General features: G+C 39.6%; 1 long non-coding RNA gene across 2 annotated transcripts in view; it reads left to right on the forward strand.

Moving 5' to 3' along the window:
- CASC2 (cancer susceptibility 2) overlaps positions 1-27,771 on the forward strand; it is a 163,333-nt gene that overhangs the window by 53,747 nt on the left and 81,815 nt on the right. The window lies entirely within an intron of this gene.

Genomic DNA, 27,771 nt, shown 5'->3' on the forward strand with positions numbered 1-27,771 from the left:
TTGGTTTATTGGAAGGGAAAATTTTTCTCAAGGTTTCTTACACAACAATGCTACTAAATTGCAATGTGGATACTCCACGGGATTTTAAAAAAGTTTTAGTGTGGTCTTGCTTGGAGGCAGGTGGGCAGACAGAATGGCATTTTCCATTTCTTCCTGGATTTAGGACCCTAAGAGATTTTCCCAAGTCATTTTCTGGAACTCACGAAGCTCCCTTGGCCTGCTGACTCCACCATCAATGAAACCATGAGATTCTTCCCTAGTGTTCCAATCTCCTTTGATTTTTCAGGCCTATTTCAGCTCTCATTTTCATATCCCAGCTTTGCCTTTACACTCGATATTTTAAAGAGCTTCAGAGTTGACCAAAATTGTGTCCTAGTGCATGGAGAAGTTATTCCATTCTCTCCAAATTGTTATCCTGGATGATTGGATTTAACAACCTCTAGGAGGATTTGTGGAGGTTTTAGTTTGATTTCCCTGTGATCATTGATGGTATTTTTATTTTCATTTGCTAAGAAGCTTTCTGCAGTACAGGGAATAGCTAATCATGCCATTCCTATCTTTGGCTCATCTTAACTTCCTTCTTACTAAACATCCACCTTTAAATACTATGATCTAAGAATCATAATTATTCCTATACAATGTGCTAACCAAATCACAGCACAAGTGATAGATGTGATTTAATAGGTAGTGCATGCCATCACATGAAATTCAGTGTTAGATATAACCATATCTAATGCTGTCTTGTTCCTGTCTTGTAGTTCACCTATTAAACCTACTAGGCTGACAGAGCACAATCTTGGGGGAAGCATGGAAAGAGAAGAGAAAGAATTCTCCGTAGACATGCATGAACATTCATAGGATAGGGAAAAAAAAAGGAGTTCTATAAGCACTTTTCTATATTCCCTAAACTGTAATAGGCTGAATTTTTTGTGCCCCTTTATTTTCTGTTGGGTGCAGGAAAAAATAACTATTCTACAGATAGCTCACAGAAGAGTGGCCAACAACTACGGTTACATAGCCTGCTTTTACACAATTTTTTCCAGAACCCATAACTTGAATGAAAAGCTCTTTTTTTTTCTTTGCTCCACTTGTGATGAGAATAGTTTGTTTGACTCATACCAAACCAAATCAAGCATTTCTGTGGGCACAAAGAGGAATGTGGAGCAAAGAAAGATTTTCTTCCTAAAAAAGAGTGTGTGCATGGAAAACAAAATTGCTTCAGATTTCACAACATCCTTTACCATTAAACACTGAAGGCGGTTTCGGGTCAGTCCAATTTCCTTTGCAGATATTTGACTTTAAAAATCACATATTCAACTTTTAAAAATGGATTTGTGTGAAATGATATATAAAAAAAATCTCATGGTATATAAGTCATGATGAGTTTCAGCTTATGTTTAACCTCTGCCTCTTCATCTTTAAGAGATGCAAATTGCCTCCAGGCAATAGTGGAAATGTCTCGTATATCTTGTCCTGCTTCCTCCAAATCAGCCCCCAAAGACGTTTACATTAGGAACTCAGAGTGATGCTGAAATAAATGAGTTTCTTCAAAAGGCTGACTGCCCCCTATCTAGGAAATTAAAAATCACTGGAGAGATTTTTTTTTTAAAAAGGGCAATAACAGATAAGTACATAGTTCTTGCTTTCTCAGCCAGCCCTATTAATACTTTTTAGAATCTCAAATGACTGATACTGTTAACTATGTGGCTAATTTTAAGAGGGAGAGTAAAACTTTTTCTAAACGACTCAAGTATCATACTCTCTCAGTTGTTCCAAGATCTCAGATTTGTGACTGTACTTATTCAAAGAATGTCATGCATTTGCTTTTCTCTTCAAGAATGTAACATTACAAATGTCTTTTAAATATGATTTGATGTGAAGCTACAATAATTCTTTGCATGCATTTGAGAACTACAGATTCTGGCAGTTGACTCAGAAGAGCTTCTCTGCTTCCTTAAAACAATGAAAACAATCTCACTTACCTTCTCCCAAGGCTGCTGTGAACACTAAAATTGCGAAAAATCAGAAAACTGAGGTATAGAGTGAGTTCTGGATGGTTCTCCGGGGCCCGTGGCCATGCTGTACCTGGCAACAACCTCTGGGAAGTGAGAACAACAGGTATCACCATGATTATTACAATTTTATAGACAAGGAAAGCAACTCAACATGGAGAAATGACTTGTCTAACATCACTGGGCAGAGTTAGTACCTGAAAGAACCAAGATGCAAGTGCAATGCCTTTGATTCTAACCTCCATGCCCTTTTAATAAGGTTCCATGAGATTCCTTTATAAACTGTAAAGTGCCCTATAAATAAGAGGTATTACATGATCAGACCCCTTTGACCTTACTCCTATCTGAGGCCAAACTAGGAAAAGTCAGAGAAATATTGGAATGTTCCCATTCCTGACTCGTCACTGGATTTTTCATAGGACAGTTCAGAGAGAACCAAAACAGAAATGGCAGTGAAATACCAGATATTTGGAGCAGAAAACTCAGCTCTGGGACAAAGGCTGGTCATCCGCTGAGAAAAGAGGTGATAATTTGGGAGCTGGAAGAGCAAGGTCACAAGAAGGAAAGATAGCTAAAGGAATGAGAGACACTGGGAGGAAAGGAAGGGTGGCCAAGCTGGTACATGGGCTGGTGCAGAAGAGTCTGACAGATGGCTTTCATCACTGAGTTCTTTTACATGATGGTTAGAATCCTTAAAGTGATGGCCTCCCAGGTGCTCTATCTGACCCCAGGTGTGCTGGGGGAGCCTGCACATATCCCTTCTATCTCACCGCTGGCCTTCATGCTCTTTGTCACCAACCCTGGCACCTCTCTACCTGAGGGTCTTCTCTGGTGGGCAGAATCCACTCTGTCTAAGCATGGGTGGGTAGGAAGTGCCTGAGAATTAAAAACCCTCTCTTTCACTGGATGATGATGTGAGTTGGTGCATAAATACCCCAGCTCCCTCACCCGTCAGGGCCGTAATGCTGAGCACATGCTCTCCATTGGCTTCCAGAGTTCCCTTTGGCATTAAGGTCCAGGTATTCACCATGGTCATGGTAGCCTGCTTGATAATGCTCCATGTTTTGGTTAAATTACCTCCCTGTCTGTTTTTTCTACTTCCCTTTTCCTGTTTCCTTCACCTCCCAAATAAACTACTTGCATTAGAGTCCTTGTTTCAAAGTCAATGTCTGGAGGAAGCTGAACAAGATGCACCTTGCAGAGAGAATCATGGTCATCTTGGGGAATAGCAACATCCTGCAGGGGCAGGACCAGGGACCAAGGGAACTAAAGAAAGGACCAGGAAGATGAAAAGTGTTCAGACCCATGAAGTCTCACCATAGCCAAGAAATTCATTGCAAGTTGTAGGTCAGAGCTGCTGATTGACAGCAGATTGGGCCCAGAACACACTGATGACAGAGGCAGTTGAAGATCCATTGTCCGTTGAAGAGTCAGGAGCCACAGGCCAGGCAAGATACGCGAGGATGAGAGGCTCAGAACCTACAAGCAAATGCCACTGGCCCCTGGGGCTGAGGCCAGGAGTATTGAGGTGGGAGAAATTCACTGCTTATTAGAGCCAAACATGATCTTGGTCAGGATTTAATCCATCCTGTCCTGCAGATGAGGAACCGAGGTTAAGAGGGCAGATGTCCTACCAGAGGCCAATCGTACAACCATTTAGTTAAAGAACCAGGACTAGAATCTACCACTGGTACTTATCCACCACTCCATGCTATACTGAAAATGATCAAATCAGAATTTTGATCCTCAGACTTAACACTTACTTGGAAAAAAGTACCTAGTCCTCTAAAAATGGAAAAATTCAAATTAAGTCTTCATTTCCTCCTGCGTTTGACATCCACATAGAAGGGCAGACTACATGGTCTAAAGCCTACCTGTTTTAGAGAGTGTGTATAATAACTCTTCATCACCGAATGGGAATGCTGCTGTGAGTTTTAATTACTATTCATTAAGGGCACAGATGTGGTCTGTTAAATAAAATGCTCTAAGTGAATTTCATGATAGTTTTACCAGATTATAAAGAACTTTCAAACACTCAAGAGCCCAACTATTTTGGTCCATACTAATGCTATATTGTTATTATTTATATTAAATATAATAGGCAATATTATAATAATAATGAATGCTATATTATACATCTGGTTTATCTTTAAATTCAAGTCAAAAAAATATTACTGTTGAAGAAAAAGAAGTATCTTCCTGATAAGATCTAAAGCTTGTTTGAAAGACGAAGGCTACAAAGAATTGCCTCCTTGGAGAACTCCAAGGTAAAGATGTAGTAGTCTCATCAGTTTTGTCTCCTTGTAAACTGCTACAAATGTTTAGGGAAACATTGTACCTCTGAGGCACTTTGCTCTGATAAGCTCGGAATTCCCCTCGTATACTCTTTAAGTATTTTACTAAGGCTAGCTCTAGAGAAACAAGGATGGTCTTAGTAGAGCTAGTTTAGAGTGAATAACTGTGGCTGAATATGTACACTGTATACACACACACAGCCTGATAGAATTATTTGGAGTATTTAACATACTCTTTAATAATATTATACTTTGTATCTTTAATATCTGTATATTATGTGTTAAATAATAGTGTGTTTCTCTGTCTAGCTGAATACCTAGACATAAATAAATAGGCTAAGCAACCCAAAACTAGATCCCCGGAAACGGAAGACTGACTAATTTCAAAACATTAAATGTTGAAGATGGAAGGGACTTGTGAAGATCACTTAGTTCAACTCTTTATGACTAAGGAGACTCAGAGCAGAAGGAAAGGACTTGCAAAGGCCACCCAGTTCATCACTGTGAAGCCAAGGCTCCTGAATCTTAGTCCAGGTCACTTTCCCCAAGATCTGAAGGATGGCTCACTTGTCCTCAGGAACAACAGTGGGTTACTGGCTCTTTCATGGCCATAGCACCTCTCCTAGACTAAACACATCAAAATGTCACTTACATCAAAATCCTCTTGTCTTTTGAAAAGAGGTACAAGTTCCTCCATCCTTGTTTATACTACTCTGTGGAGATATTCAGGATCAAAATGAAACTTTGTCACATGGAAAGCTGAAACATTTGTAAAATTGTAGTAATGAAATGCAAGTGAAAGCGTTTTGCAAATTGTCCTTTACCCTTGTCAAGAGTTCCATTGAGTGGGATCTGAATGCTGTCACATCTTTTCAACCAATGGAGAGATAGTCTGATTCCATGCCCAGAAAGCAGTTCACCCATTTAATCTCATTCTCAAAGGGTTTTCTAAGTGCAGGACAGGCAGATCAAATAGCACTGTGGACTGTTGGGGTTGTTCTGTAAAATAAAGTAGTAGATAAACATCTTTCTCTGTTCACAAGGAGTGTACTACAGTCAGGGTAACCTTCAACACATGGAGGAGGCAGCCCCCTGAATAGCATAAATTCAGAACTCTGGGAAGACCCCATTCTATCTCTCTATATCCACAAACCTCTTGGCTGCCATCTAAGAGGCCACCATTTATATTTCATTTGTCCTAGTTTTATATCCCTATTAATGCACAAATATCTTTGGTAAGAATGACCCAAGATACTAACATTTTCTCCCTTAAACTAAATAAAGCTTTGGAGCATGAGTTTTGATGGGAAAGGAAAAAGAAAGCAAACACAGGAGGACTCTGAGTGGTACTAGCAGATAAGGAGAAGGGAATATCACTCAGGGAGGGGAAATGGTCAGGGAGAGGCAGTGCTGTTGTGGACTCATGAAAGCTGTACTTTTGGTGATTTTATAGCATGTCAGGAGCATGTTCTAAGTGTTCTCCAAGCTTAATTCATGTAATCCTCCATCTTATGAAGTAGATGCTATTATAGTTATCCCTATTAGAGATTAGGACATAGAGGGAGAGATATTAAGTAACCTGCCCAAGTTTACATAGCTGATAAATAGCAGATTTCAAATATATGCCTTCTGGCTCCAAATTCTGAGCCCTGAAGCACTGTAGTGACCATTCATCTACATTACAGTTTTGTCACTGTAAAGGCCTGGCTGATTTATCTTGTTTTCCTCGCTACTGAAACAGCTCTAATAAGACTCTCCCCTGCCCCCTAGCTGTCTGATAAAATGAGTTTGCATTTAAAGCCCGAAAGCTGCTTGGTCTTGGCGACCCTTCCAGTACACTGTTTGCCCTGGGGTGCTCCTTTGGGACCCTTCCTAAGAGAAGCTCTGAGGTTTTGTTAGTCCCTTGGCAAATGGACTTCTCAACAAAGAGCCTAGGAGGGGTAAGATAGGCACGGTGTTGGGTAGAAATGGAGGGCTACCTATTTATAATAGATGCTGAGAAAGGCTGGGCCATCTCTGCTATATGTACTCAGTCTCAGAATCATAACAAGTTTCTTGTCTCTGTGGATGAAAAAGCACCACCCTGGTAGTGAAGGAATGAGGTACTGGCCTTTAGGTTAGAAACACATTAATAATCCAGACTCCAGAATGGGCAGTGCCACTGCTCTGGCATCCTTCTCCACAGACAAACATAAGACTCAGGTTTCTGGGCCATCCAAGGTAGCACTTTTCACAAATATCAAACATAAATAATTGAAGAGGCAATGTTTAGAAATGGAAAATGCAAAATCCCAGGTGAATTTGCTGCTTCTCTCTCTTTCTTTGTGCCTGTGCCTCTCCTGAATCTCCATGGGCACATGGCAAGCAGCGTGAGTCATTCTGACACCTCATGTACATCCTTCTAGACATTTGTGGTTTTTGTCACTGTTTTGAAGATGATCAAATAATAGAATAATAAGTTTCAAAAGTCTTTCTTAAACTGCCTACTTTAATGAAAAGATGAAAACCAAAATCTCCATGGATTTAGGAAGAAAAGTCATCACTCTATTTTGTACAGAATTTACTTATACCCCAGTTGAACCCCCACAAAAGTAGAGAACAATGTAGCACAATATATGAGATAATTGTCACATGAACAATTTATTTTGATAGTGGTGTCATGCATTAAACTTCCTGAATACGGCCCCACACACAAAACTCTTTTCACATTTGTGTGTCATACATAGAATTGAGAAACATTTCAATTTTGCTGATAACCTCAAGTTGGAAATTAGTGATAACCTTCCTTAGCCCCAGTCATAGCTGAGACATACGGTTGGTTAATCAAATTAGGAGGGTGAGCTCTGCCTTCACATTTGCCAGTTCATTAAGTTAGATCTGCCTGGTAACCATGATAGCCAGGCTGTGTCATGATTACCTGATGTACCACTGAAACCCAACACATTATACATGTGTTTATACAATTAATTGGTTATTCAATGTTTAAAATAAAAATTCTGAAGAGGTATAAATTATGCCATACCTACTAACATACCCTGGGTAACAGAGGCTCTTCTGCATTAAATATGCCCAAGAAAATCATATTTCATCAATGCAAATGGGGCAGAAAATGCATCATTTTAGTGAGGCCAAACCACTGTGTCAGATGAAATTTACCAAAATGTACAGTTTTTGGTCATCTTACAGCCAATAGGATTGAGAAATAGGATCCACGCAATGCCTTAAATCCTGAAATGATAGGAGAAATATGGTTGCGTCATGAAATTTATCAGATACATCCCTTTGCCAAGTAAATAAAAAATAAAAAAAGGACTGCAACATTCAACATCATGGGAAGAGAGGGAAGACAAGATGGCAGGGATTTTTTTTTTTTTTTCCAAACTCCACAACGTCAAGGGAAAACAAACTGGACTGTCAAAGCAAATTCTGACAATGCGGAGTGCTGTCCCTGGCAGAGGCGGCAGCTCCATCGCTCTGTTTGTTTGGGCCCAGCCGTGGCTTTTATTAGACTTTGAAGAGCACCCTAACGGTGGGTCATGGGGCGGTCACTACTCATCTCTGCTGTTGTTCCACGTGGCCTCTCTCGGCCGCTACGGGAAGAAGGGAATGGTTTCTTTAAGGAACGAGGCTATTTATAAAATAACTATAAAATCTAATATCCATTATGCACAAATGATAGTGTCAGACAGCTCCGGCGGCTGTATATTTGCTGGACATCAGCCTTCTGTGAGTATAAATTGCCCCGTACTGAGGAGAAATACAATACAGTTCACCAGAGACTTGGCTGCAAGATGTAGCCGCTTGTCTGTGGGCAAGTAATGACTTGCGTTTTCAGCTGCTTCTTGGTAAGAGCCTTAGTAATTGGAATCAGTTATTCAAAACATCGCTAAATGTGATTTAAATGGCAAGGATTTAATAACAGAGAAAGAAGCCATTAAAGGGGTTCAAGCAGGGGAGAAGGGAATTCCGTTTTTTAGAGCAGAGGGAGAAAAATAAAGCAATTACTTGATGTAAAGGCCAGAAACAGGACTCCTGCTGTCAGGGAGAAATCAAATCTGTCAGCAATTAGTGGGATCTTAGGAGGTAAAGAACTCTCCAGCGTTGAGCAGTGAATAAGGGGTTAGCAATTATATGAACTGATAAAAGTGTTCTGGTTTCCAAACAGCAGGTTAACAAGCCTTACTTTTTTCATAACTTGATGCAGATGTGATGGTCACACTTGAGGATATTTTTCAGTGGTTCGCCAGGAAAGTTCCTTAATAAGTACATTGGGCAGCCTGTTTCCATCTCAAACTGTGTTCGTGCTACCTAACGCAAAAGGATGTGTGGGAGAGCATTTTGATAGCAAGGCTCTTCTTTAATTAAAAAATGGAATAATAAATTCTCTGAACATGCAATTAAAAAAAATCAAATGAGAAATTCACGTCCCCATGTCCATTCTTCCCATGGGATTGGCAGTTCCTGGTATTTTCAGCATGGAAGGAACGTCACCTGGTATAAAAGAGGCAAACTTTGTATCAAATAAATACATTAACTTTATTATGACATGCTCCTTGTTATTGTGTAGTCTTAGGAATAAAAAAACCTGTGACATATATTTATATACATATGTGGCCTACAGATGACTCCTATAGGGGGTCTCTAAAAATTATTTGGTATTGATGGATATGGGGTGTGAAACTCAGTCTGACATGTGAAGTTATATCAGAAGGAAAAAATCAATAGTTCCGTCACAAAAACAGTTGCAGGCTTTCAATTCAAGGAGCTACTCTGTCTGCTGAGAGAACACTAAGATGTCAATAAAAGCTGAGTATTTGAAATAAGGTCATTTAAAAAGACTCCCCTAGAGTCAATCCTCTTTGACTTGCTATGAGTGACCTGTTTATGATTTCGCTGATGCGTATTCTGTTTTAAAGACAGAGGCAATTCTACCTCAGCAACAATACTGCAAAGAAATTGATCATTCAGCATATGCTACTGCTTTGTCAGTTAGCAGGAGACAATTAGGAATTTTTTTCTTCCTTTTTTTCCATTAAGAAATTCAGTCAATATATTGGAGCATTGAGGACTACCTGCTTTCACTTTAAGCACTTGTATAAGCTAATCGTTAAAAAATATTAAAATTTCCTATCAGTGTATCTCAGGGGATTTTCCATTTTGAACAAAACTCCTCTGACCAGAAAAATCTTACCCCTCCTACCCAGGGGATCTGCTGTGGGTCAGCAGGGCTCCCATTGCTGAAACAACTAAGCGCCCTTAAAGGCCAACGATCATGAAACATCTGTGAACCCCAAAGTGATTCGGAAATGTAGGATCATCAGATTGTGGTTCTAAGGGTGGCTTTTAACCCAGCTCTAAAGTCAACATAAGTTCCATTGCTTTTCTCTTTTGCAACATGACTTTCTGTTTTATATTATTATTACATAGTATATGTATAATATTTACATTAAAATGTTATTGCTCAGTTTTCTTAAATATTATATTCATTTCATGAAAATTTACAAACAGCATCTAGCAGATCTTGTTAGCTAGGGATGAGCAAAAGACATGGTATGAAATTATTAGGTTGGTGCAAAAGTAATGGCAAAAACTGTAATTACTTTTGTACCAACCTAATAGAAGCAAAGGAACATCAGCATGAGCGACTACAGTTCTGTTCAGAGAAAGATGTGCTCTTTCGTTGCTGTTACCAAATACCCCAAATGCACACACCATGTAGACTTGCAAAGATCCTATACTTTAAAATGAGATTCATTAAAACTACTTCCTGAGCACTAATATGTGCAAGACACTGTGCTGAGTGCTGTGTATTCATTTGTGTTATGTTTCAATTACTAAGAAACTACACAGATTTTTTTAAATACTGAGTTGGTTTTTAATTAATATGTATATGTGTGTATAGATTTTGAGGACTGCAGTTTCTGGACTTATTTAGTTAATTCCTGATTTTCTTACCATCTACCATTGTCCAACTACCAAAGTCACTTATCTCAAAAAGAAATTGAAAGCAACTGAGTTAAGGAAGTGATAAAGATGAGAAATGCCAGATCAAAGCATCTAGTATAGGGAGATGTTCCGGCAGAAGAGTTTGCTATTTCTGTAGAAGTGTATGGCTATGGTTTTTCTATGAAATAATTGCCCTAAAATTCTTACCCACCAACCAAATTCTCACTTTTGGGTCAGGTTGATAGGATGCTGGGCTCTGGTCTCATCACAATGAGGACAGACTCACATTATACTGGGTTTTAATAATAAACTGATGGATTTTCACATGATCTCACCCCAGCTCTGCTAATGGCAGGCTGTGCTTCCTTTAACAAAAAGGTCCTCAGTTTCCTCATCTGGATGTAGTAATAATAACAATTTTTAGCCAGGCGTGGTGGCTCACGCCTGTAATCCCAACACTTTGAGAGGCAAAGGCGGGTGGATCACAAGGTCAGGAGATCGAGACCATCCTGGCTAACACAGTGAAACCCCCTCTACTAAAAATACAAAAAATAAAAATTAGCCTGGTGTGGTGGCGGGCGCCTGTAGTCCCAGCTATTCAGGAGGTTGAGGCAGGAGAATGGTGTGAACCCAGGAGGCGAGCTTGCAGTGAGCCGAGATCGTGCCACTGCACTCCAACCTGGGCAATAGAGCAGGACTCCATCTCAAAAATAATAATAATAATAATAATAATTTTTGGAATGTCCTTGGAGTTCTCTACATTCCCTGGAAATTATAAAGGATAATACAACCCTGCTAAAGAAAAAAAAATTGGAGAAAATAACGTCTTAAAGGTAGAGAAAACAAATATGTTTTTCTGGACGTAGAATTATCTAGTAATTCCTCATAGGCTTTCTTTATCTAGTTTCTCATTCAAAATAGGTACGAAGTCATCAGAGCAAAGACACCTGTGGTGCATCTCAGTAGAATATAGTTGTGAGCAAAACATATTTTTAAAAAGTGCTTCCTGTAACATCACTGGGAAATTTTGAGGTCTTTGAGTCTATGAGGGATGTAGTATTGTTCAGGGGAGCATATAAGAAAACTCAAGTTGAATATTCTGCATGATTCATCAAGTCAAGTTCAGAATTGTTGCGATCATGTCTGTTCCAATAGAGTCATGAAAGAATCTTCACTAGCCAGACATAAATATATGGCAAAAAAGGTTCAGGATCCAACTCCCATCCTTTGAAAGCTGCTTGGGAACAAAGCAGTTGCCTAAATTGCTTCACCGAGTCCTGGCCAAAGGACGCAGCTTCCAGAGGGTGTGAGCAGAGAGGCCTCTGCCAAACAGTGATCCTCACATGGATTTCAAAGAAACACTGCAGCTGAAGGCCCTCAGATGGGATGGAGACCAGTTGGTACCCTGTCTTTATGATTATTCAATTTGGCTGTCCTCAAACTGAGGACCGCCCCTGTGGGAGAGACTGTGTGAAGGTGTGCTTCTTCACTTTCACTGAACCGGGCAGCCTTTGCGGAGCAGTCCTGTTTTCAGGCATCAGCTGTCAGTGTCAGGAAAGAGTGGAGATCATTGCCAAATTAGAAATCTGAAGTGTCCCTGCTAGGAGGCTCTGTGTGCATTTTGACATGTCTGGCTGGCAATTCTTAAAAAAAGTAAATCCTAGCAGTTTGCTGGCATGACAGCCTTACTCGGCAGCACCAGCCAGGGAAGACTTGGTAAACTATTATTGTTTGGAGATTTGGAGTAGAGAACCTTCTGGGCTTTGGCATAAAATGACTAAGTCACTTCCTCCAGGTTTGTGGAGGAGGGGTCATCTTGCCTTTTACACTCGCTTTATATCCTGTGTTGGGCACCATAGCCATTAGGACATTCCTTCTATTACATGATATGATTGAACTCTGTCTTTTAATTTTGTGATTTTGATCTCCTTGAATTACTGATTAATCAGCCTTCCAAACAGGCGCTCACTCATTTGACTGGGGGCAAATCGTAAAGAATGCTGGTGCTGCCAGTCTGCATGCAGCTGTGCCTGCTCCTCTGGTTGGGACTGCTGGCCAGGATTGCAAAGTGGAATAACCTGGGCCACTTCTTTGCCAAATGAACTGTTTCATAACTTCCCAGTAGCCATACTGTGTAGAGGACTTGGCTTCCTTGATGCAATCTCAGCCTTCGTTGGCGTGGGTGGACTGACAACCTGGTCAGGTGTGTGCGTTGAGGTTGCTGCATTTTCCATGCAGGGTGTTCATCTTTGTAATGTCAAACTCTCAACAACAACCCAGAGATGAATATTCAAAAACCATCTACATTGGCCAGGCATGGTGGCTCACACCTGTAATCCCAGCACTTTGGGAAGCCGAGGCCAGTGGATCACCTGAGGTCAGGAGTTCAAGACCAGCCTGATCAACATGGTGAAACCCTGTCTCTACTAAAAATACAAAAATTTGCTGGGTGTGGTGGTGGGCACCTGTAATCTCAGCTACTCTGGAGGCTGAGACAGGAGAATCGCTTGAATCGAGGAGGCGGAGTTTGCAGTGAGCTGAGATCGCACCATTGCACTCCAGCCTGGGCGACAGAGACTCTGTCTCAAAAAAAAAAAAAAAATCTACATCATGGACTTTCCCCTGCTTTAAGAAAGACAGAATATCTTCAGCATAAGCATTTTTTGATAGTATTTTTCACTGATTTTATTTTAAAAATCCTTCCGTGGAACAAATCTTAACTATAGTATTGAATGGTCATGTGCAATCTTGCTTATTTTCACCTAAAACAAATGTTGATATGTATACGTGAGAATGGCAAAATCGGTGAGATTAAACCAATAATTAAATGTCATTAGTTTCAGCCATTCTTTTAACATGGAATCCAGATTTTTAATAGCTTGTTTTCTTTCGTATAGGTTGAATTCTTCTTAGTGTAGTACCTATATTGTGTTTTTAATTGTCATATGTTCATGGCCAGCCTAGTGATTCCCCCAATATCCACAGAAATGACCCAAAAACAAATCATAGGAAGTACTTTTTGTTCTGAATTCAATGATGGAAACTCTGAAAAGTAAATGAGAAAACTTTTATGCAAAACATTATTCATTTTATATGGTCACAAAACCTTATTGACACAATATCACATAGCAGTTAAGTAACTTAGTACTAAAAACTATAGAGGCTAATCTGCTCACTGTCTGTAGCTAATTTTATACTCCAGGAAGAGATAGAACATTTTAAAAATTAGTTGTCAAAGTTTCATACATTATGTTGTTATTTTGAACCGTCATTGTGGTTTTCTTCTAGAATAAAGCTGTTCTGTAATTCCATATAATTCTCGTATCCAAAGTGTATTACCATTTCATCCCTCTCCACTTTTTCTTTCTTCTGCTAATAGAATCCGGCATCACACAGAACTGAGTAGGTGAAATGCATATTGCTCAGAATCATCTTCAGGTCAAAGGAGCCCACAAAACACAACCCAACCAAACAAAATCCACATGATGGAAGTTGGGTGTGGCTTGTTAATTGATAGCCCTTAAAAATGTGTTTAGAAACATCGTTTTTTATCAGAGGAGGTAAACGTGGAAATGCTTCTGCCCATCATTAACTAGTTTCTGGAACGTTTCTTTTTACTAAGCAAGTTTTTTAAAGGGTATTTTCAAAAACAGGAAAATGCAAATTAGAGGCATTGGTCATTACACAGAAAATAAAAGAACTGTCAAAGAAAAATGGAACAGGATGTCAATGGCACTGTGAACTAGAAATAGATGGAGTCTCACTATAATGTTAACTGTAAAATTAGGTCATGGGTTCCTGTCATTGTTGAAACTCTTAGAAGGAGAAAGTTCTAAACTACCTTACGTGAGAACAAAGACAGTTCTGCCTTATGTGAATTCCATCCTTTGGGTAGTGACAGTGCAAAGAACCAGAGTAACTGTAAGTTGGTGGATGTGTGAAGTACAAAATCTGGGTGGTAGCAGGTGGTGACTGTATTCTTGATGTGGTGTTCTGTCCTCTTATATGGGTAGAAAGGTTCAAATATAGTTATACGTTTGCTACCTTACGGTGATGTGATATCATCCATTATGAAAATTCATCATTGACCTATAAATAATCTAAAATTATCTTGATTTTTTAATCTTTCCCCCATTTTTGATAAGGAGTCTTTGCTAGCCTATCTTTCTTCTTGGCCTATCTCAAATACTTTTACTCCTGAGTATATATTTGTGAAGTAACTCAGTGGAGTTAGGATGTGGTCTGTGGCCATGAAATGGAGCAAGATTAGTTTTTCCTTTTTACAGTTCAGCCTACAGTTCCTATTATCTTTGCCTTATTAGCATTGTGTTCCAACCAGTTGGCCCAGTGACACCATAACTATATTTAGAGACTGTCAGAGTCATTTAGAGACTTTGTGTTCCACGTTAAATTTGCTATGACATATTGATAAGTAAAATGGTCCAGCATGGGTTCTGCTACTACCCTGTTCACACAGAGCACTTAATTCTCTACACTGCAGTTTTCCTGTTGCAGAATAAGGATAATAATACCTGCAAGATCTACTTTACAAGTGTGTCATGATGAACAGTAATTGAGATGATAGGCATTATTATCATAAATTATTGGATGATATTTTTCATACAGCTAAGAATTGAGTCAACAAAGTGACAACTCTATGTCCAATAAGACAAATTTCACTTAATAAAACCCTGTAATATGCTCTTCTCATTATGCGATATTAATGTGAAAGCTCTAGTGTTCTCACATCCTGAGAGCTTCCCCAAAGGGACATAGACTTATTCAATTGCCATCCATCCCTAATTTTTATTTCAACATCTAGTTCTATCAAAAATTTGAAGTTGTCACACACAAAGTGCTTTGGGGGTCTGTTGCCCTGCACACTTGGCCCATCTCCATCCATGAACGCCATTCTGAAGTGGTGGTCTTTGTGCCGTTCTCATTGTTATTCCTGGGTGCCATAGTCACTTGAATACTTGAGCAGGGGAAGCAGCGGTCTCCGGCGTCAAGTCAGTTTCAGCTCTTGAGATCTGAAAGGCAGCCACTTGGAGTTCATTACACATTTCTACTCAACACTCCTGCCTTAACATTGTATCACACAAGAATTCTAAATTCATTTTGGCTGTGTTACAAGGCCTGTTTTCTGCCTGGATGCCCAGGTCTTCTTTCTTTCCATTGTCTCTGGTTGGTGTCCAGGAATAAAGGATACTTAACATTTAAAAAGGCAGAATTGTTTGCAATGAAAATACTTCCCGCTAACTGGCACTCTCCGAGAACGTTAAAGACCCAAATGACGACAGTCACTTCCTTTGGAAGCATATTTATTTTCATGCATCTTTCCTGGAAAAAAGTTATTTTTTTGCGCGTTTTGCTCTTTATAGTTTATGTTTGCAATCCATGAGAACCCTAAGAGAAAGAGAGAATTTCCTAATGCAAAATACCTTTTACTGAATAGGAATTTGAATGCTGATATACCAGGTGGACCCTCTTTTATGTATGAAAACAGAAATCATTTTCTCAAGTTCCTCATGACCTCTTAAGGCTCCCCACCAGAACACGAGTTAAACTATGCTAAAATATGAATGCTTTAAAAATATATCTTGACACTTTTTGTTGATAAAGGGCACCACCCAGGAAGTAATTCACTGTCATAGCAGTTAGTGATAGTGTTGCAAGGTTTAATAAACCTTGGATCCCTCCACTTTTCTGCTTTAGCATGGCATGTCTAGAGTGTTCCTTGCAGCAGTGCGCTATTTAGAGACATTTGTCTGTCAGCCTCCCAAAAACAAAAGCCATTTAACTGCTTTTTTAAGAGGCTGAGCAGCAGTGATCCGTTTTTGGGAGGCAGGAGGGAACCAGGCCTGCATTACTGAGAGTGCGTGTGTGCGCACGCACACGTGTGTGTGTGTCTGTGTGTGTGCGCGTGAGCGTGCATGTTGTTTTCCACTGAGAGAAACTAATCTCTTGGCTTAGATCCACCTTGGTATTAGCCTCAGCGCTTTCTCTCCCTCCTTTCCTCTAAATCATTATTAAGTTTATTACTTCTTTTTTCTTTTGCTGGGGAAGATTAATGGCTTTCCCTGGGCAGAGGGACCTCTGCCGAGCACAGTGGCTCTATAAATAGCACCTGCTGCTAATTCTCCAGTGCCCGGTATCTCCCCCAACACATCTTGGTCTTTAAACAATTTGTTCAGAAGAAGAAAGCTATGGGTCACCGTGCACTTTGGTGTTACTCAAAATGTGTTTTATGGATAGTGAGTTTTTCTGCAGGAAGTTTGGCCTGGCGGGGCCTTTAGAGAAACTGGCTGTCCCAGTACCTCCCCAAGGCGGCATGCCTCACTAACCAGGCTTGTAAGGATATCACAGAACCTGTTGGACCTGTGGGGGTGGTGCCATGTGAATAGCTTTTGCCATTAACTTCCCCCCTCCTCCTTTTCTAATTTCTTCTCTCTCAGTAGATTTCAGGCTCAGCTGAGCTCTGTGTTCCAATAGCCTGGGGGAGATGTGACTTCATAGAGTTATAAAACACAAAAAGGGAAAATGCTGGGAAAGTTGCAATGCTAAGGTTCAGTGACTTGTGGTTTCAGAAAATGGAATGCTTCTGGGCAACACAGATGGCAGGAAGGACCAGTGATCAGCATTTTTAAACCATCTTCATCTTTAAGGGGTGATAATAGGAATAAGAGAGCACAACCTATATGGCTCATAGCAAGTGTTCAATACATCTTTGCTGAATGAATGAAAGAATTAATGAAAGGGATGATATTTCTCATTATTAGAAACATGCTTATCTGATATGCTGAAGTCAATGCAGTTGCAAGCAGAGTTGTATTACTTAATGAAGCCATGCAGCCTGTCAAGGTAAAGGAGAAGGGGAACTAGGCTCTTACATGTAACCTTGAGAGAAATGAATTCTTTCTTCATTTGGATGTTTAATGAGAACAATGAAAGATCCAAGGATGTTTCTCAGACCCTGAACTTGGTAGACTGGGAAGTCTTAACTTTTTATATGCCAACTTACTGCATGGATTCAAATTGGAAGTTCCCATTCTCTTTGGAAAGGACTCCCATCACCACTCCAACTAACCTTCAGGTCAAGGATTTTATTTACCCTTGTGTGTGTAACACTTTCTCAGTCTGCTTGTTTCATACAATTACACAATAGTGGACCCTGTGTAGTAATTACATAATAATTACATAAATAACAGAATCTTACAGCTGAGAGCGACCTCAGAAATGATCTAGAATAATCATTACCTTTTGCAGATGAAGAAATTGAGGCCTGGAGAGATAAAACTCCTTGCCCAAGGTCACTCAACTCATCAGCAGCAGAGTTAAACTAGCACTCAGCCTTCCCACCGGCCTGTGTCATATCCTTCCCACTATAATATATTGTCCTTAAAACTCAAATCAATGTCATTCTTGATTTCCAACGTGGCAATGTGAATTCCTTAAACCAATACTTGAAAATTTTTTAAAAAAAGATCTCTCAATGTGCTTCATTATAGACAAACAGGTAAGAAGCAGAGCTGCTTTGTTGAAGTGAGGTGGCAGAGGTGAGGATAGGAGACCTGGCATTCTGCCTACTGGCATCCATTTCATCTTCTGCCCCTATCCTGGGCAGTGCTGAGGCCAATCCAAGGAACCCAGGAGATCAGGAAATTCATTTTAATAACGCTATTTTTGTTCAAGGAAAACCACTTTGTATCTATCAACATAAAGTTTCCAATCAAATGTGTTTAGAGAGCTTGGCTTCCTCCACCTCTAAAATTACAAGTCAGGGACTCACAGAACAATATTATGACGAGATAGCACTAAGCATGGCACATTTTGGCTGTTTAATAAGTTTTGTTGTATAAATAAATTAATTAATGGTAGCAATGCAATTCCTAAAAACACTCAACTTCTCATTGTCAACTTCTCTCTCCCTGGTCTGTGTTACTAAAATATTCAGATATACCATTACTAACACATTTTCCTCTTTGTAATTGCCTCCATTCTTACCTGCTTCTCCTTGGAGACTGTGAGTTTCTCAAGAGCAGGACTCTGAACTCACAGTACCTGGGCCACATCAGACACACAGTAAGCTTTAGTAAATGTTGCTTGTTAAGTGAAGAATGACTGAAAGCACCTCAGGCATTTAGTGCTAAGGCAGGGTTCTCAACCTCAGCAATATTGACATAAAGGGGGGGATAATTCTTTGTTGTGGGGGCTGTTGTGTGCATAGTAGAATGTTTAGCATCTTCCCTGGCCTCTACCCACTAGATGCCAGTAGCAATCCCTCAAGCATGACAACCAAAATTGTCTCCAGATATTACCTATTACCAAATGTCCCCTGGTGGATAAAATTGCCCCTGGTTGAAAACTACAGTGCTAAAGGAAGTCTTGTTTTCTTTCTTCTGAGTTTTTGAGTGCAAAACAACAATTGCCTACTTTTGTTAGGTAAAAATTAGGCAATTGTATTGTTTGAATCTAGGAATTTAATAGTTAATACTGTCAGCCATTAATTCATCTCACCCTGCATATGTTTTACTTTGAGGGAATTTTAGTGGAGAACACAGTGTTTGCTAGTTTGAGAATATCATGTTCATTGAATCAAGGAACATAATGCCATGATTCTGTTGAGACAGTGGCCTGGGGTTAGCCAAGTACCATAGTTCTAGGATACAGAACAAACATGGCAGCTTCATATATTCTGTCATTATGAAGAAGTTGGGTTGACAAATCAGCTGTTTTTTTCCATGTTCTCCCCTTTTAGATGGTTTCATGGAATGCCCTTATGACTTTAAACAGATGCCCAACCAAATTCTCGTGACTCCAAAGCTATGAGATTTAATGACTCTGTTTACTTTATCTTAGATGTCTCATGATACCTTTTTTTTGTGATGACAACTTTTGTTTGAGAGGAATAAAATGTCATCGAGTATTTGTCCTTACTAATGGAAGTGGGACTCTCTCTTTTAAATGTAATTAAGAGTTTTTAAAAAAAAATCTAAGAAAAATTGTTCTCATCTTCCTTCCAAAAACAAGTACGCAAAATGCAGAAATACAAAGCACAGTTTGCTAGAACAGGCATCACAACTTCTCATCCTTCTCATCTTCAAACTTAAATCATCCTCAACTTCCTATTGACGATTTCCCAACATCTAGGTCTTAGCCATTTTTAGCCTGGATGTTCCCAAGTACTACAAGCTTCTAAGAGCATTCTTTTTATTAATATCCAAATAAATGGCTCAATACTTTCCCATCCTACAGGCTCTTGGAAGTCAAGCATTCCTGTCGCAAAGTTTCCAGGAGTTGATTCATTCATGCATGCATTCATTCATTCAATGAACATTTCTTGAGCATCCTATAGAACCACAATGCACTAGGTTTTCCCTCCAGATTCCTGTTCCCATTGAATTCTCACCTTGCTTCTTCTGGTTGCTATCTTCTTTCTACCCACCTAACCTCAAGTTTGGTCCCTGTCTCTTCTTTATTCTCTGAAGCACCACAAACTTAAGGGTGATGCATGAAATAGATGTTTATAGAGGTTGAAAATATTAGAGGGGATTGCAATCCTATGCACAAGAAACAGCTTAAAATTAAACTGCAGTCATCATTGTTTCTTAAAAGCCCCTATGCCATCCTGTTCCTAGGAATGTCTCCCTGGTCATGTTCCTTCTTGGGGTCTGCTTGAAAAATCACCACGTTGCCTGGGTGTTCCCTCTCCTCTCCTCCCAGATAAGAGAAATCACCTCTCCAGAGCTTCTTTGCTTTCCAGCTTCTGAGAAGCATCTCCATGCTGCATTGTTTAAGCTTTATTATGTAATGTAATCTGGGCCTTTTGTATCAACTGTCTCCTTCTAAACTTTTAACCACCAAAGAAAGCCCAGAAAAGTGTTTTCCTATACAAAAGATCCCATACCTTTAGCAAGGCAAAACATTAACAGAAGTTTTATAATTTTCTTGTCCATCTCATTTGCTCTAGTTTGTGTTCTTAGGCAATTTTTGACCAGTCTACCTACCTCCACAGGTAGAAGGAAGGCAGTCTGCAATTTATTCCTCTCTTATTCAAAGCAAAGGCCCTGGGGTAACTTTTTTAACTTTCCCATTACATTATTACTCTAACACACTCATTTCTCCCTTTATCTCTGCCCCCAAATACAAATAAGCTACTAATTCTTATTATTAAATAGGTACCAGTTATAAAAACAAAATGGATAGAGCTGTTTCTCAAGTTAACTGGGTTTTTCCTTTTGAGTAACCTTAATATAAGTGTTTGTGCAAGTGGTAGTTATAATGAATGGGTCAAAATGAAGTTTGTTGATTTATTCATTCTATTTCTGTCCAAGGACCATGGGGAAGTAAAGATTAACTCACACTTGGGGATGTAGTTCTATCAAAAAAAAAAAAAATAGCTAAAGCTATTGCATTGAACATTGAGGCTGTCCTCCACAAAACCCAAACTATGAAAAGAAAAAAAAAACCATGTTTTCTTCTAAGACAATTCTGAACTCTTTGTCAGGGTTTATTTACAGTAAACAACAATGTAGGCTGACTTCTTTTTGGGTGTAAAATGGAAGGATGTCAGAGGAGAGCTCTATCAGGGTATTTTCGACCTAACATTTGGATGGGTTTGGTTTCTCGTGCAAAGAGCTAATAGGAAATTCCGCTGTGGCATGCGCAAAGGTGAGCATGTGAGTCTCTCTTTCTGGATATATACTTCTGTGTGTGTAGGAAATAAATACAGAAATGAAACAAACACTGAAACAGATCCTTGTAACTGTCAACAATGTGCACTAACACAAATAAAATAGAAACATAAAATAAACCTCAATATAAATAATAAAGATAGATGCTTTTCTTTCTTTAGACGCAAATATTGGTGCGATGCTTCCTTTAATGAAGCAACTTTGCTACCAATTCTTATTTGTATAAATTGACAACATTCATTGAGCACTTACTCTGTACCAGATACTCAGTAAGCCTAATCCTCAGCACGACTTTAATCTTCCCAACAATCCTATGGAGCAGCCATTTTTATCTCCATTTACTGATGAGGAGAATGAGGCCCAGGAAGAAGTAACTTTTCTTTAGTCTTACCAGGGAGCAACAGAGAGGACTCAAACCTGTCTATGCCTGACTGCAAAGCTGTGCTCTTTGCTGTTTCAGATTGCCTCCTTTGAAATGAATTCAACTATTGATTTCCAATTTTGTGCTGTTTTGATTTTCTTACCTTGTTTTAAAAACCATGCTGTATTTGTTTTTCACTACGTTAAGTTATGTAGTAGTCTTTAACCTGAGATTCTCATCTGATCCTGCAGCATTTTTATTAAATATATAGTGATCTTGCCCTTATTCTGTGGCAGGCAAAAGCAGGAACAATGACTTCCACAAAAGTCATGTGCTTGACAATTTTGTTAGTTATTCTATCCTTAAATGGAACATCTAGGCACACTTACAACTCTCGCTTATTTGGTTGAATAGCTCTCTGCCCTCGACATAATTTTAAAATTGGCACTTATAAGTCCCAGAGTATAATTCTTTGCACATGCTAAGCATTCAATGAAGTTTTGTTGAAATAAGCATGTTACATTTTTTTTGAAGAACAAATATGGCCCAAGAGTCCTTAAGACCTAGGAAGTTTTAAAATAATTTCAGTTCTAAAAATAGCCAGCCAAATTTTTATGATTTGGTAATAAGAAAATAGTCTGTTAAGATGAGTTTCCAAATATTTTGCCAAATCTGGCCTTAGGTTTCTTGTTTTCTCCAGATAAGCACACCTAACTTATTTACAAAGGATTTACTTTCCCCCTTCCATGTACCAACATAGGGATGATGATGCCATTGCTGGTCAAAGGCCTGCTACACGCCAGTCATCGTTCTTGGTGCTTTATGCATTTTTTATATTTGAGTCTTGGAGAAATGCACCGTGATGAATATTTTCCATTTGCAGAAGGTGTTCATCACTTTACTGGAGATCCACCATTGGAGTGGAGGAACCATAATTCAAGCCTATGCTGGTTTATTTCTAGAGCCCTCCATGCCCTTTTCTATGAAAACAAAAAGCTCTGCTTCTCTGGACACATTTATTCTGTGGAATTGTTCACATCACTCTTAAGTACCATAGAGTGGGATATCTGACCATTTTTCTTTTATTTGTCACCAATGATGAAGGGATGATAACAAGTGAAACAGCTTCAGACTTGTTTTGTTTCCAGTGGCTTTTCTCTCATAAGGTCACACTGTCACCCACAGAAACACGATGCAAGGATTATTTTTTCTGAACTACATGCACACATGTATACCATTGCTTCTGGGATTATTGCATATGACCCTCAAGTTCCCTGGACTGGATGCCTGGAGTGCTCGCTCTGGTTCCAGCTGTACTATTGTATAACCTTTGGCAAGTCCCTGAACCTTCCTGGGCTCAAGCTTCTTCACCTGTTTTCTCAGTGGCTCATAAGCGCTAACATACAGTGGCCTTTACAATAACATTAACATGCTCCAAAATGAATAGGGTAAAATAAGTGTTACCTGATGTAGTAGGCTGAATGGTGCCCCCCCCCCCAAAAAGATATGTCCATATCCTAAACCCTGGAACCTACGAATGTTACCTTAAATGGCAGAAGCATGAGTATTACCACGTATGGCCAAAAAAAATGTAATTAAGTTAAAGATCTTGAGAGACAGAATGTATCCTGAATTATCTGGGTAGACCTTAAATGCAATCAAATGTATCCTCATAGGAGAGAGGCAGAGGGAGTTTTGAGATGGAGGGAGGAGGAGGTGACGCAACCATGGAGACAGAAATTGGAGTGATGCAGCCACAAGCTAAGGAATGCTTGGAACCAGAAGTCAGAAGAGGCACAGAACAGGTTTTCCCCTAGAGCCTTCAGAGGGAACATGGCCCAGCCAACATCTGAATTTCAGATTTTAAGCCGCCAGAACTGTAAGAGAATACATTTCTGTTGTTTTAAGCCACCTAGTTTGTGATAATTTGTTATAGCAACCACAGAAAACTAATACACCTGGTTATGTCAAAAATGCTTCTTCTGCTGAAATTTCCTATAATACTTGTAGGAAAACATTTGTAAAGGAACATACTGACTTGACTTAGAGGCTTGACTATTAATTAAACATTTTCAACATGCATTTTAATGTAGCTCTCAGAGACTGTGACCTGAAACATATTTAAACTCTTTTCTTAGAAGAGAGCCGGGGCTCTTACCTGGGTTCTGTATGCTGAGACCAGGCTTAGGTGTGTGTGTGGGAAATCAGTCCTTGACTGAAAAGTACAGAGCAAAGAGGAGTGAAACAGTGTCCCTGGCACCCACCTGCAGGAGAAGAAAGGACTGCCCTTATTGTCAAATCCAAATTGGTAATAAAAACTGATTATGAAGTGAAAGCTTTACAAGTGAGGCAGCAAGTGGGAAGATTCAGGCTCAGGTTCCAGAAGATCAGAGAAGGTTTCTGTGGCATTGGCTCATGATCACAAGGGATGAGGGCTTCAACGTAAGAGTGGAGGCTGCTCATGGCTAAGAAGGGTGCTGGCTTCTATAAAAGAGATACTGAAAGTCTTATCATTCCAACCCCTTAGCTGTTACTTGAATTTCTTCACATCACAGCTGTGTGGGAATCACTCAGTCTTTAAACTAACATCACTCATTCATTCATTCATTCACTCATACAGTCAATATTTGACTATATGAGTGATATTGACTCATATATTGTCAAATATTTGAGTCAATATTTGACAATATTCTATATGCCAGGGCACAATGTGGATACAAATAGGTATTCACAGTCTTTTAACATTTTTTTTAATTATTATATATTTAGGGGGTACAAGTGTGGATATCTTCCAGGCATATATTGCATAGTGGTGAAGTCTGGGTGTTTAGTGCATCCATCACCTGAATAGTGAACACTGTACCTGACACAGTTTGGATTTGTGTCCCTGCCCAAATCTCATGTTGAATTGGAGGAAGTGCCTGGTGGGAGGTGAGTAGATCATGGGGCAGATTTCCCCCTTGTTGTTCTTGTGACAGTGAGTGAGTTCTCATGAGATCTGGTGGTTTAAAAGTGTGTGGCACTTTCCCCTTTGCTCTCTCTCTCCTGCTGTCATGTGAAGAAGGTGCTTGCTTCCTCTTCCCCTGAGTGTAAGTTTCCTGAGGCCTCCCAGTCATGCTTCCTGTTAAGCCTGTAGAACTGTGAGTCAATTAAACCTCTTTTCTTCATAAATTACCCAGTCTCAGGTAGTTCTTTATAGCAGTGTTAGAACAGACTAATACCGTACCCAACAGGTTATTTTTCCACCCCTCAGCTGCTCTCCCATCCTCCCGTCTTTTGTAGTTTCCAACGTGTATTACTCTACTCTGTATGTCCGTTTGTACCCACTCTTTAGCTCCCACTTCTTGTAAGTGAGAACATGCAGTACTTGATTTTCTGTTTTGAGTTGTTTCACTTAGGATAAGGGCCTCCAGTTCCATCCATGTCACTACAAAAGACATGATTTCATTCTGTTTTATGGCTGCATAGTATTCATATATATATGCCACATTTTCTTCATTCAGTCCTGCACTCATGGGCACTTAGGTTGACCTTAGGTTGATTCCATGTTCCTATTGTGAATAGTGCTGTGATAAACATACAAATGCAGATAACTTTTTGATATAGTGTTTTCTTTCCCTTTGGGTATATACCAGTTATGAGATTGCTGGATCAAAGAGTAGTTCTATTTTTTTTGTTCTTTGTGGATTCTCCACACTGTTTTCCATAGAGGTTGAACTCTATCCATTCCCACTAATAGTGTACAAGCATTTTCTTTTCCCCACATCCTTGCCAACTCTGTTGCTTTTTGATTTTTAATAATAGCCATTCTGACTGGTATAAGATGGTATCTTACTGTTGCTTTAATTTGTATTCTGTGATAATTAGTGCTGTTGAGCATTTTTTCCATATGTTTTTTGGCTGATGTATATCTTCTCTCTGCTTATATCCTTTGCCCACTTTGTATTGGGGTTATTTGGTTTTTCTTTCCTTGTTGAGTTGTTTGAATTTCTTGTAGTTTCTAAATATTAGCCCTTTGTCAGATGTGTAGTTTGCAAATATTTTTTCCCATCCTTAGGTTGTTTGTTTACCTTGCTGATTCTTTTGCTGTGCAAAAGTTTTTAGTTTAATTAAGTCTCAATTTGTCTATTTTTGTTGTGTTTGCTTTTGAGAACTTGATCATAAATTCTTTGCCTAGGCCTATGTCCAGAACAAGTTTTCCTGGGTTTTCTTCTAGGATTTTTATAGTTTCAGGTCTTACCTTTAAGTCTTTAATCCACTTTGAGTCAATTTTTGTACATGGTGACAAGTATGGGTCCAGTTTCATCCTTCTGCATATGGCTATCCAATTGTCCCAGCACCATGTATTGCATAGGATGTCCTTTCCCCAGTGTACGTTTTTGTTGACTTTGTCTAAGATCAGTTGGCTGTAGATATGTGGCTTTATTTCTGGGTTCTCTCATCTGTTCCATTGATCTATGTATTTTTACACCAGTACTGTGCTGTTTGGGTTACTATGGCCTTGTAGTGTACTTGAAGTCAGGTAATGTGATGCCTCTGGCTTTGCTCTTTTTGCTTAGGATTGTTTTAGCTATTAGGGTTTTTTTTTTTTGGTTTAATATGAATTATAGAATAGTTTTTTCTAATTCTGTGAAAAATGACATTGGTAATTTGATAGGAATTGTGTTGAATCTGTAAATTATTTGGGCAGTATGGTCATTTTAATTGTATTGATTCTTCCAATTCTTGGCACGGGATGTTATTCCATTTGTTTGTGTCATCTATAATTTCTCATCAGTGTTTTGTAGTTCTCCTTAGAGAGATCTTTCACCTCCTTGGTTAAATATATTTTTTTGGTAGCTAATGTAATTGGAATTGCCTTCTCAATTTGGTCCTCTGCTAGATTGTTATTGGGGTATTGAAATGCTACTTATTTCTGTATGTAAATTCCCAAAACTTTACTGTATTCACATTCTTTTGTAATAAGATATAATAAGAGGAAGTGAGCATGATGGTGGAGGAATAAACAATGTGCAGGGGCAAGGAGAATGGAATGTTGAACTCTGCCTGGCGGACTCTGGGCTGGCATCTTAGGAGGTGATATTTGAGCTTAGTCCTTAGGAGTGAACAGCGCTTGCCCCTGAGGCAGCTCATTTCCTTTTTGAAAAGTCCTTCCTTACATTGAATAAAAATGTGTGCTTCATTAATTTTTACTTAAACTCTGAATGATCATTATAACCCAAACCAATGACTCTTGAGGACTTTGATCTCAATGGGTGGAAAGACACCAGGAATGTATAAAGCTTGCTTTCAGTAAGTCTCTGCCTTATGGAGGGTCCCTTGAAAGGAATGTACAGAATATTCTCATTTCCTGGATAATAAATTCCTAAATAAGAATTTTTAGGGATCACCAGAGGAAACTACTAGCTAGTTAATATTTCAGCAAGCATGAATTCTTAGGCAAATGGCCCATCTTCCTGCTGCACGCTTCTGGGTAGCTCTCTCCTGCGTGCAGGAGGAAGATGGGAAGATACACAAGCAATGAGATGACATGCAAAGTGTGAAGAGCCCGTTCCTTGATCTAGAAATCTAGGAGATATCAGGGACCCCTCTCCTGCATAATCTATCACCACTTCCTGTTAACCCTAACCTTGCCTGGGCTCCAGCCACTTTTTCTGTCCCCTATGCCCCCAGTGTCTCTTCCACGAATGGTTGCAACAGCCTCCTGCCTGCTCTCCATTGTTTCCATTCATTCACATCTTTCTCTAGCCATTCTCCTTTCAAATAGTCAGGGATGCTAAAAACTGCAAATTTGATCATGTCACCCCAGCCAGAAGCCCTTCAATGCCTTCCCATGACCTGAAAATCAAGCCCAACCCATTTTACATGGTTTATAAGCCCTGTAGATGCTGGCCTCACCAACCTGTTCAAACACTTTCAAACCACTCACACCTTTGCTCTCTCACACCTACTGCCCCCATCACTAGACTTTTCTTAGTCCTTTGAACACACTGGGGCTCTACCTCATGCTCGGGCCTTTGTACAGACTTTTCTCCTTGCCTGAAACACACAAAACCTCCCTTCCCCTTCCTCCATCTGTCACTTCTTCTGCCTCCAAACATTCAAACAGCTTCCTCTTGCATTCACCACGCTCTCTCTCTCTCTCTCACACACACAGGCACACACACACACACACACATACACACACACCTCCTTAGTTTACTCACGTCTCAATTTTCCTCCATGGTTTAATTTAAATGGCACTTCCAGCAGGAAGCCAGTTCCTTCCTAACTTCCTTGGTCCCCCTCCCATCATAAGCTACCCCAGTGCCCCTGCATTTCTGCTTCCAAACAATCATCACTCTAGATTGTAATTCTTTGGTTAATGCTTGTATTCCCAGCTAGACCAAGAACTCAACAAGAGCAAGCACTGGGTCTCTCTTGCTTAATTTTGTGTCTCTAAACTGACACATAGTAAGCCCTCA

The sequence above is a fragment of the Homo sapiens genome, chromosome 10, assembly GCF_000001405.40.
Source record: "Homo sapiens chromosome 10, GRCh38.p14 Primary Assembly".
NCBI classification, from domain to species: domain Eukaryota; kingdom Metazoa; phylum Chordata; class Mammalia; order Primates; family Hominidae; genus Homo; species Homo sapiens.